At 33.7% G+C, this 12,377-nt stretch overlaps 1 protein-coding gene across 9 annotated transcripts in view; it reads right to left on the reverse strand.

Moving 5' to 3' along the window:
* The window catches only part of CSMD3 (CUB and Sushi multiple domains 3), a 1,214,012-nt gene that overhangs the window by 1,050,101 nt on the left and 151,534 nt on the right, over window positions 1-12,377 (reverse strand). For all 9 annotated transcript variants that reach the window (NM_001363185.1, XM_017013010.2, NM_052900.3 and 6 more), the window contains one exon: window positions 5,564-5,676. In NM_001363185.1, the coding sequence (NP_001350114.1) occupies window positions 5,564-5,676 (113 nt within the window). The remainder of the gene's footprint in view (window positions 1-5,563; window positions 5,677-12,377) is intronic.

Here is a 12,377-nt window from a genome sequence, read left to right on the forward strand (position 1 = left end):
AGAGAAGATAAATGTTTGAGGTGATAGATATCCCAATTACTCTTATTTGATCATTACACCTTGTATGATTGTATGAAAATACCACATATACCCTATAAATATGTATAATTATTATAAAAATTAAAATAAAACAAATTTTGTTTAAATAAAACATTTTCTTGATTATTGAGATCCCACTCATGGGATATGTGAACTTAAGTGACTTCTAACTTCACATTTTAAGTTAGTTTCCTTTGTCTAACGCTAAACATTTTGAATACATTAAAAAAAAACCTCAGCTCTAATAAAATTAGCAGGATTATGTACTATAGGGTCCCCTTGTTATCGGTGACTTTGTTTTTTGCGGTTTCAGTTACCATTGATAACCAAGATCGGAAAATATTAATTTAAAAATTCCAGAAATAAACAATTCATAGGTTTAAACTACAGGCCACACTAAGCAGCATGATAAAATCTATGAGCACTCTATTCTGTTCTGCCCCACCCATCCCTTTGCCAAGCTGTATATGCTACCTGCCTATTAGATACTTATTTGTGGTCTCAGTTATCAGACTGAGAAAACATACTACTGTATATATGGTTTGGTACTATCCACAATTTCAGGCATCCACTGGAAGCCTTGGAGTGTATCCCTCACAGATAAAGGACAATGGGACTATTCTACTGTCAATGAGTATTTAAGAAATATAGCCTACCCTGATTTAATGGATCTCATTTGTAGTGTTTTCTGATATCTGACAGAATTTCACTAAACTATTACATTGTATTATATGTTGATTAATCTTTTGTATTTAGGATAAACTATCAGGTATAGCTAATACAGAGAAATATTTCTACTTAGAAACATTCATAATGATGTTTTATATTTTAACTGAATTATTTTCCTGTCTTATAAATTGGTAGCAATTGCCTAGAGCTAAATAAAATATAAGAATAAGTGAAAGTAACAGGTTTTTGAAACTTAAGAAGCAAAAGAAATCATAGAAAATGTAAAGAATTTGATAGCGGTCTTTATTAAATATTTTTGTAATTTGACAAAATAAAAGTATACTTTACATTTCTAAATAAAGCATAAAGTTTTTACATTTTGAAAATCATAATTTCAATATAAAAATTTTAAATGTATAGAATGATTCCAAGCACACAGAATTGTTAAATTATTAATATATTGATTTTTTTGCTATTAATGGATACTATATGGAATTTAAGATGAAATATTTGCCTAAAGAATATAAATTTAATGTATCAAGGGATCTAGAAAATTAATTTTAAACAATATTTTAAATTGATCTGCACTCTAGTATGAAAGTAGAGACTGTATAACTCATTCTGGATAATTTAGCAACACTAAAGGAAAAGGTGAGAACTGGTTCGTGGACCAGTGTGCTTTGGTAAACAATTTCTTACTTGTCCACGATGAAGTATAGAAATCAAGAGTAAGCATTTAAGTACTTTCAAGCAAATTGACATCAGTGCAACATTTCCTCCATTAGCTTTTATTTTACAAAAGTATTGGTGTGCAATTACAGATACCTATTGGTCTTTCATCATAGACAGTTTGAAAAATGTAGAGAGTGAATAAGTAGAACTTCTCCTACTTTACCTTCTCCTCTGCAAGTTAAATCAATTTCAATACGCTAAATTGTCTTGAAAGATCTCATAGTAGTTACAGCACATTACCTTAACTGAGAATAATGTGTTTGTTCATTAGCTTGATGACCTTTACTCACCTAATAATGATTTTTAAAGAAATATATTTGTAACATTAAGTCATTAATCACATTCAGCTACACACACACACACACAGAGAGAAAGAGAGAGAGAAAGAAAAAAAGGAAGGAAGCAGGGAGGGAGGGAGGGAGGGAGGCAGAGAAATAAAGAGAGAGAGAGAGAATGTGTGATTACTTCAACAGCTCTTGCTAAAAGAACAGACCATAAAAATAGCCTTTTTAAAAAAGCATATTAACTCCATTATAGAAATTTGTACAAATATACTGTATGTCCCCATAGAATTGAAATGCTTATATATAAAGTACTCTTTTAATCACCATCATGATACTATCAATATTGTAATTCATATGTATAGACTGTTTATTATGTTAGATCCTATTCTAGGCACTCTATATTATTTTTTTCCTCACAACACTATGAAGTAGGGAGAATTATTATCTCAATTTTACAGATGAAGACAATGAGATTTAGATACATTAAGTATCTTCTCCAGAATAATTCTCTTTGCAGTATACCAGTTGAACAAATATCTTTCTTAGCTTTTATTATACACCAGATTAGTTTGGTCTGGTTTAGTCCTCTTTCCAGGGAGAGAAAGATAGAATTTACAATCTCAGTAGGCATAAGAATCAGTGAGTCTCTTATTACAATGCATATTCCAGGGCTCCACGGCAGAGTCTGACTCAGAATATGTAAGTGGGGCCAAGAATTCTAGATTTTAATACAGTCTCCAGATAAAGCTGATGCATGTGGTTCAGTGTTGACAATTTGAGAAACACAGATAAATGAATAACATTAGTAATAAATACGGTCTCATAAATACTAATACACAAGGACAAAGTCTTAGGAAAGTTTTTTAAAAATAGTAAATGATTATATAGAGGAGGATGAAATAAAAAGAAATGAGATTTACACATTAGGATTAGCTTGAAAAATATTTTTAAAAATACAGGTAAGAGACCAGGAGCAGTGGCTCTTGCTTGTAATCCCAGTGCTTTGAGAGATAGAGGCAGGAAAATCGCTAGAAGCCTGGGGTTTAGGACAAGCCAGGGCAACACAGTGAGACTCCTATCTCAAAAATATAAAAATTAAATTAAATTTAAAAATACAGGCATAATACTTGAGAAGATGTCCAGGTTAGTAGATCTATTTTACTGTATCATACACAGGGCAAGAGTTGTAATTTGAGGTAACTGCAGAAAAAAAACTGGATCCAAATGCAGGGGAGTGGGAGACAGATTTTGTAATTCCAAGATAAGATTTCCGAGCTTCACAATATGCCAGTTGGCCCTGGCAGTATCACTGGCTACAGTTAAATATAGAAATGCTACCAGCTACTCCCTCTGGATCATGTTACATAGACTTAAGCATGAAATTGTAGGCCAAATAATGCCCCTCTACCTCCCCAAAAATGTATCTCTGGAACTTGCACATATGTCATGTTACATGGCCAAAAAGCCTTTGAAGATATGATTAAGGTTAAGGACTTTATGATGCGGAGATTAGCATTCATTAGCCAGATGGGCCCAAGCCAATCACACGGACTTTAAAAGCTGAGAAATTTCTTCACCTGGAGTATAAGATGTGTGGAGGGAGAAAGTAGCAGACAGATACATCAGAGGGGAAATCAAAGATTCCAAGGTGAGGAGGATTCTTTTTACCAGTTGCTGGCTCTAAGGTATGAGGCCTCTACGTGAAGAGGAGAGAAAGCCTTAGGAGCTATGGGCAGCCCCAGCTGACAGCCAGAAGGAAACAGGTATCATGGTCCTACAAACTTGAAGAACTGGATCTTGCTAACAATCAGAATACGCCAGAAAGTAGATTTTCCCCAAAACCTTTGGATACAAACCCAGCCCACTGAAATTTTTATTTTAGCCTTGTGGGACTCCAAACAGAGAAATCAGCAAAGAACACCAGGACTTTTAACTTATAAAACTGAGATAGTTTTTTAAGATTATTTTAAGATGTTAAATTGAAAACTAATATGCATTGAACAAGATACTGTGAATCAATACCTGAAGATTTTGCAGTATGATAACCCATCCTTCAGTACTATCTGAATGTCAAGTATCCTATATTTTAAGTCAGCACATGCCAAACATACATTTAAATGTCAAAAATATATGAATCTATTTTACCTTAAGTGAAAAAGATGGACAGAAATTTAGTGTGGTATATGTAGAAACAATTGGGAGCTATGAAAATATTTTTTAGTATGAGTTCATGAAACCTGACAGCCAAACCAAAAAACATGCCAACCTCATAATTCACAAGTACATTTTCAATATATTTAGTACTTCCTGAAAGCTTAAACTAATCTAAAAATATCTTTATATTTTGATGAACAGAATACAGGTTTTTTATTAAGAGCGCTTAGCACAAAATAATTGCATTACTAACTTCTTCTTCAGTATTGCCAAAATTATACCTTAAAATTAAACTTTGTGGTTATAGTGTTTTAAACTATGAATTAAGTTGCCAGGATAAAGAATATTCAACTATTGTGAGAGCTCCTTAGAAAAACAACGATTATTACTATCACCGTGGAGGAAATTAAGTCTTGGAATTTATCCTCCCTTGCTACACAAAAGACAGTTCAGAAAAGTATTAGGTAGAAAATAATGTTCAAAACTGCTGCTATCTGACATTATTTAGGATATAAAACAGAGAAAGCATTTTACTAAATTATTAGCCAGAGGATTTTTTTTCTAGTGAAAAATACTGTACTAGAATTAGTGTTTAGTTTAAGACATTCCCTTACATGCAAGATGTTAACATTTATACTGAAACAATTCTATTTACTATGTGATTGTTTTCTTTAAACACATTATATTTTGAATTATTATATGGTTTAGAAATTAATTGCCCTTGCTACGGTATTTATGTATCTCTTTATGATAATGTTAGACCTGATGTGATAAATTCTGTAATATGGTCCTGGGGAGATGAATTGAAATCTGATACACTATCCCTATGGGGAAGAAAAGGACTCTTTCCTAAATTAGATGGAAATTTTATTGTCAAATCACATAGATAAGAAATGATAAGTCCATGATTTCTATCTGAAACCTTCAAGAACAAATTATTTTTGCCATCAGAATTATTTTTGCTAGCACATTTTTTAAAAAGCAAAACATGTAGATTCTGTGCCTTTAAACACTCTGAGTAGAGCCTGGGCACCATCCCATTATCAAACGATATTTTCCTAGTGATATGTATGAGTATCCACACTAAGCGTGATAAATAAAGATCATAAATGTCCTCTATTCATTTGGCATCAGGTTTTGATGCCAACTGAGTTTGTACCAAACTTCTAGGAAAAAGAAAAAACACAACCTTCAGTTTTGAGAAATATTTAGTTGTCCTCTTCCTGGTTTAAGGGATTATTGATCTTATTCCTGGAAAGGCTGTTTCAGGAGTAGATGTCAACTCTTGTCTCTTTCTGAACTTCTTCTCTTGACTCTAACTTTCAGAGAAGACAGATTACTAGTTTACTTTCTGGTAGACTGGCACAGCACAAGGGACTGTAGGGTAGGGTCTGTGATGCCTGACACACAAATCAGGTCTAGAGTCCTATTACTCTCACATTTAATTCCGTTTTGTTAATTCGTAACCCTGTAGCAATTTAATGGTCTCACATAGTGATATAAAATATTAAAACCCACTAAGTATAGCATTTTACTATACATTAATGATTAATAACAAGATAAATTTCAGGACAAGATTTGAGACAACATGATGTTGTCTCAAATGTTGATTCTTCTTTCCTACTTGAAAAATTTTGTTAGATTACATTAAGGGCAGTGGTTTGTTTGCCACTACCATCACTTACCTTCGTAATATACCTTAAATCCATGAGCACTAACTGCAAAATCACTGGTCAAACGTAGTGAGAACACAGATTTGGTACTTGTCACTGGAGGTGGCAGATGGAATCCTGTTAACCTAAAACAAAATGGAATTAATTGTTAGAGACATAATCATTTTATCTAAGAGTTTTTAAGAAGGATTAAAGTCATATTTAAAAAAAATAATAAAACAGATTTTCTCCTATAATTTCCAGAAGGAATGCTATCCAGCCAACACCTTGATTTCAGCCCAGTTAAACTCATTTTGGACTTCAGCCCTCCAGACTGCAAGATAATACATTTGTGTTGTTTAAGCTACTAAGTTTGTGGCAATTTGTTGTAGCAGGAATGGACAACTGATATACAATTCTTTCCTGGGTTTTGGAATATACATTTTTAAAATATCTAGATAAATACTAATTTATTCTATAATTGAATATGGAAGTCCTGTGAAACCTAGTGACTAAGTTACCAAGACTGCTGTTGATATTATATAAAATGAGTACATTCAGAACCTATTAAGGCAATATTTATGTAATTATGACTAAAAATCTCTCTATGAAGAGCGATAACATAGTATGAGATATTATATATATAGTATAATATGAAATTACATCCTTACATTAGAAGATACAAGAGACCGAGAAGAATTAGGCAACTAGATCAAGTTCACAGAAGAGCCAGGTCTAAGACTACAACTGTATTATTGCCTCCTATTATCAATTAAACACCCTGTTTGGCATCTGATTGTCTTTGAGACATTAATAAAATAGAAACAATAAATATTTGAACTATTAATGTGTACATTAACATCCAAATCATTTTGTATACAATTTCAAATTGGTATTCACTCAGTTGTATTAAATAATATTTGAAGCAATATTTAGAACACTTTTATCATTAAGTTACTCAAAGTAATAGAGAAGAACATTGTGAAGAATTGTTCACTTTTAGCAAAAGCTGGGTTTCTGTATATATGTTTAAATAATCAGCATGTAGTGGCATGTTGTGTAATGGGAGATTTGTTTTGTTTTTTTAATTTTAATCAATGAGAGAACAAAATGTATTTTTTAAAAGTTATTTTCATATAATAGCTGTATCATTATGAGGATTTGAGGTAACTTGTTTTACTCCTTCTTGTAATACGTTGTATAATTGATTTAAAAATAAACTCAGTTATGAGTCTAATTAGTTTTTTCTTTATAAGACTTCATTTTGTAATTTCATATTTATGTGCATAGTTATTAAACATCTTTTTCTCCTTTGGATACTATGCTTCAAGATGTCAATGTTTTTTCTGCATCTGTTGAGATGATCACGTGAATTTTGTTTTTAATTCTATTTATGTGGTGTATCACATTTATTGACTTACGTATGTTAAACCATCCCTGAATCTCTGGTGTCAAACCCACTTGATCATGGTGGGTTATCTTTTTGGTATGTTTTTGGATTCGGTTAGCTAGTATTTTGTTAATGATTTTCGCACCCATGTTCATCAAGGATATCAGTCTGTAGTTTCCTTTTTTGGTTATGTCCTTTCCTGGTTTTGGTATTAGGATGATGCTGGCTTCATAGAATGAATTAGGGAGGGTTCCTTCTTTCTCTGTCTTGTGGAATAGTGTCAAAAGGATTAGTACCAATTCTTTGAATGTCTGGTAGAATTCTGCTGTGAATCTGTCTGGTCTTGGACTTTTTTTCGTTGCTAATTTTAAAATTACCATTTCAATCTTCCTACTTGTTATTGGTCTATTCAGGGTGTCTAATTCTTCCTGATTTGAGCTAGGACGGTTGTATTTTTCCAGGAATTTATCCGTCTCTTCTAGTTTTTCTAGTTTATGTGCGTAGAGGTGTTCACAGTAGCCTTGAACGATCTTTTGCATTTTGGTTGTGTCAGTTGTAATATCTCCTGTTTCATTTCTTAGTGAGGTTATTTGGATTTCTTCTCTTTTCTTGGTTAATCTTGTGAATGGTCTATCCATTTTATCTTTTTGAAGGACCAGCTTTTTGTTTCATTTATCTTTTGTAATTTTTTTTGTTTCAATTTCATTTGGTTCTGCTCTGATCTTGGTTATTTCCTTTCTTCTACCGGCTTTGGTTTGGTTTGTTCTTGTTTCTCTAGTTCCTTGAGGTGTGACCTTAGAATGTCAGTTTGTGCTATTTCAGTCTTTTTGATGTAGGCACTTATGGCTATGAACTTTCCTCTTAGCAATGCCTTTGCTGTATCACAGAGGTTTTGATACATCGTACCATTATTGTCATTCAGTTCGAAGAATTTGTAAATTTCCATCTTGATTGCGCTTTTGACCCAATGCTCATTCAGGAGCAGATTATTTAAATTCCATGTATTTGCATGGTATTGAGGGTTCCTTTTGGAGTTGATTTCCAGTTTCATTCCACTGTGGTCTAAGACAGTGCTTGATATAATTTTAATTTTTTCTTTATTTATTGAGGCTCGTTTTTGGCCTATCATGTAGTCTATCTACTGGTCTATCTTGTAGAAAGTTTCATGCATTGTTTAATAGAATGTGTATTCTATGGTTGTTGGATAAAATGTGCTGTATATCTATCTGTTAAGTCAGTTTGTTCCAAGGTAAAGTTTAAATCCATTGTTTCTTTGTTGAGTTTCTGTCTTGACCTGTCTAGTACTGTCGGTGGAGTGTTGAAGTCCCCCACTATTATTTTGTTGCTGTCTATATCATTTCTTAAGTCTATTGGTATCTGTTTTATAAATTTGGGACCTCCAGTGTTACGTGCATGTATGTTTAGGATTGTCATATTTTCCTGTTGGACAAGGCCTTTTACCATCATATAATGTTCCTCTTTGTCTCTTTTAACTGCTGTTGCTTTAAAGTTGGTTTTCTCTAAGAACACCTACCTCTGCTTGCTTTTGGTATCCATTTGTATGAAATGTCTTTTTCCACCCCTTTAGTTTATGTGAGTCCTTATGTGTTAGGTGAGTCTCCTGAAGGCAGCAGATAGTTGGTTGGTGAGTTCTTACTCATTCTGCAGTTATGTATCTTTTAAGTGGAGCATTTAGGCCATTTACATTCAATGTTAGTATTGAAATGTGAGGTACCCTTGCATACATCGTGCACTTTGTTGCCTGTGTACTTTGTTTTTTATTTGTTTTTGGTTTTTAACTTGCATTTTTGTTTTATAGGTCCTGTATGATTTATGCTTTAAAGAGGTTCTGTTTGATGTGTTTCCAGGATTTGTTTCAAGATTTACAGCTCCTTTTTAGCAGTTCTTGTAGTGGTGGCTTGATAATGTCAAATTCTCTCAGCATTTGTTTGTCTGAAAAAGACTGTATCTTTTCTTCATATATGATGCTTAGTTTCGCTGGAAACAAAATTCTTGGCTGATAATTGTTTTGTTTGAGGAGGCTGAAGATAGGCACCAATTCCTTCTAGCTTGTAGGGTTTCTGCTGAGAAATCTGCTGTTAATTTGATAGGTTCTCCTTTATATCTTAATGTAATAAAAGCCATCTATGACAAACCCATAGCCAACATAATACTGAATGGGGAAAAGTTGAAAGCATTCCCTCTGAGAACTGGAACAAGACAAGGATGCCCAATCTCACCACTCCTCTTCAACATAGTACTGGAAGTCCTAGCCAAAGCAATCAGACAAGAGAAAGAAACAAAGGACATTCAAATTAGTAAAGAGGAAGCCAAACTGTAACTGTTTGCTGATGATATGATCGTTTACCTTGAAAACCCTAAGGACTCCTCCAGAAAGCTCCTGGAACTGATAAAAGAATTCAGCAAAGTTTCCATATACAAGATCCAAGATTAATGTACACAAATCAGTAGCTCTTCTATACACCAACAGTGACCAAGTGGAGAATCAAATCAAGAACTCAAACCCTTTTATGATAGCTGCAAAAAAAAATTAAAATACTTAGGAATAAACCTAAGCTAGGAGTCAAAAGACCTCTACAAGGAAAACTATAAAACACTGCTGAAAGAAATCATAGATGACATGGACAAATGGAAACATACCATGCACATAGATGAGGAGAATCAATGTTTTGAAAATGACCATACTGCCAAAAGCAATCTACAAATTTAATGCAATCCCCATCAAAATACCAACATCACTCTTCACAGAATTAGAAAAAAACAATTCTAAAATTCATATGGAACCAAAAAAGAGCCTGCATAACCAAAGCAAGACTAAGCAAAAGGAACAAATCTGGAGGCATCACATTACCTGATTTCAAACTGCACTATAAGGCCGTAGTCACCAAAAGAGTGTGGTGCTAACATAAAAATGGGCACATAGACCAATGGAACAGAATAGAGAACCCAGAAATAAACCCAAATACTTACAGCCAACTGATCTTTGACAAAGCAAACAAAAACATAAAGTGGGGAAAGGACACCATTTTCAGCAAATGGTGCTGAGATAATTGGCTAGCCATATGTAGAAGAATGAAACTGGATCCTCATCTTTCACCTTATAAAAAATCAACTCAAGATGGATTAAGGACGTAAATCTAAGATCTGAAACTATAAAAATTCTAGAAGATAACATTCGAAAAACTCTTGCAGACATTGGCTTAGGCAAGGATTTCATGACCAAGAACCCAAAAGCAAATGCAATAAAAACAAATATAAATAGCTGGGACCTAAATAAACTACAGAGCTTTTGCACAGCAAAAGGAACATTCACCAGAGTAAGCAGACAACCCACAGAGTGTGAGAAAATCTTCACAATCTTTACATCTGACAAAGGACTAATATCCAGAATCTGTAACCAACTCAAATCAGTAAGAAAAAAAAGAAAAAATCCCATCAAAAAGTGGGCTAAGGGCATGAATAGACAATTCTCAAAAGAAGATATACAAATGGCAACAAACGTGAAAAAATACTCAACATCACTAATGATCAGGGAAATGCAAATCAAAACTACAATGCAATACCACCTTACTCCTGCAAGAATGGCCGTAATCAAAAAATCAAAAAACCTTAGATGCTTGTGTGGATGCAGTGATCAGAGAACACGTCTACACTACTGGTGGGAATGTAATCTATTATAACTACTATGAAAAACAGTGTGGAGATTCCTTAAAGAACTGAAAGTAGAACTGCCATTTGATCCACCAATACCACCACTGGGTACCTATCCAGAGGATATCAAGTCATTATTTGAAAAGATACTTGTACATGCATGTTTATAGCAGCACAATTCACAATTGTAAAATCATGGAATCAACCCACATGTCCATCAATCAACGAGTGGATAAAGAAACTGCGATATACACATATCATATATATGATGGAATACTACTCAGCCATAAAAAGGAATGAATTAACAGCATTTGCAGTGACCTGGATGAGACTGGAGACTATTATTCTAAGCAAAGTAAGTCAGGAATGGAAAACCAACATCATGTAGTCTCACTAATATGTGGGAACTAAGCTGTGGGGACCAAAAGGCTTAAGAATGACACAATGAACTTTGGGGACTTGGGGGAGAGGGAGGTGGGCACGGGATAAAAGAACACAGATATAGTACAGTATATACTGCTTAAGTGATGGGTGCACCAAAATCTCACAAATCACCACTAAAGAACTTACTCGTGTAACCAAATACCACCTGTACCCCAATACTTATGGAAAAAAAAAGATGTCAGTGTTTGGGACTCAGAGTCTAAAACCAGTGCTTCTGTCAATGTATGTCATGGAGGAGTCTCTCAGTAAGTACTTATTAATCTAATGAGTTGAAATGGTAGGAGAATATCGATGCCATCTTAACAATTTCTTATTCACACTAAGAATTGTGTTCTTGAAACATCATAAGAATATAAATTTATTGTTATTAAGTTATTAAGAAAATTTCTATAGCTTAAGTAGAGACTCTTGTTCAGAGAAAGTAAGTTTTCCCCATGTTAACCTCAAAAGTTTAAGATAAATATCTCATGCACACTTTTTTGACATATCTTTCTAGGAACAACAATATAGTTCGAAAACTTATTTTAAGGTAAAGCTAATATGATTTGTATCTTTAAAATGTGAGCTATAAATTTATGGTATTTAAATATATTGTTTTCACTTGGACTTAACATGTTTTCTAGGTAATTTAAAAGCATACTATTTTATAGATAAGTATGCTATTTTTCCATGTAATTATTTGTACTGGTTTTGATATTTGTAAAATTTAGTTTTTTGCATATATTGCTCGTTACTACATTATCAGTTATATTCCCTCCGCGTTGATGCACGATGAAATTGCATAGTGAATGACATTTTATGTTTCTTTGAAAATTGTACCACAGTCCAGCGGTATTTTCTTTGACTCACAGTTGAAGAAATCACAGCTCAGGAATGATAAGTAAATTGTTTAAATTCATGCAGGTGGTAGGCAGGTAGTGGAGCAAAGATAAAAACAGTAACTTCAGACTTCAATCCACTAGGACTTTCCCATAAGAGAAATGATTTTTTTCTATGAAGCCAGAATAAAATTTTAATCAGTTTTGGTTTTTGCACAATGCCCATGTAGGTTTCTTAACAAGTATTTTGAATGAATAGAACATATTTCACCCACATCACAACTTTAAGTAGTTGTGGGTGGTAAGAATTATTATGAAGTCATTGAATTAAAGGTGAGTAAGGCAATGGGGAGCCATTGTCTGACTAGTTGGTGACAGCTTTTTTTTTTTTTTTTTTGACAGAGTCTAGCTCTGTTGCCCAGGCTGGAGTGCAGTGGCACGATCTCGGCTCACTGCAAGCTCCACCTCCCGGGTTCACCCCATTCTCCTGCCTTCAGCCTCCTGAGTAGCTGGGACTACAGGC

This window comes from Homo sapiens, chromosome 8 (genome assembly GCF_000001405.40).
Source record: "Homo sapiens chromosome 8, GRCh38.p14 Primary Assembly".
In the NCBI taxonomy this organism is placed as follows: Eukaryota; Metazoa; Chordata; class Mammalia; order Primates; family Hominidae; genus Homo; species Homo sapiens.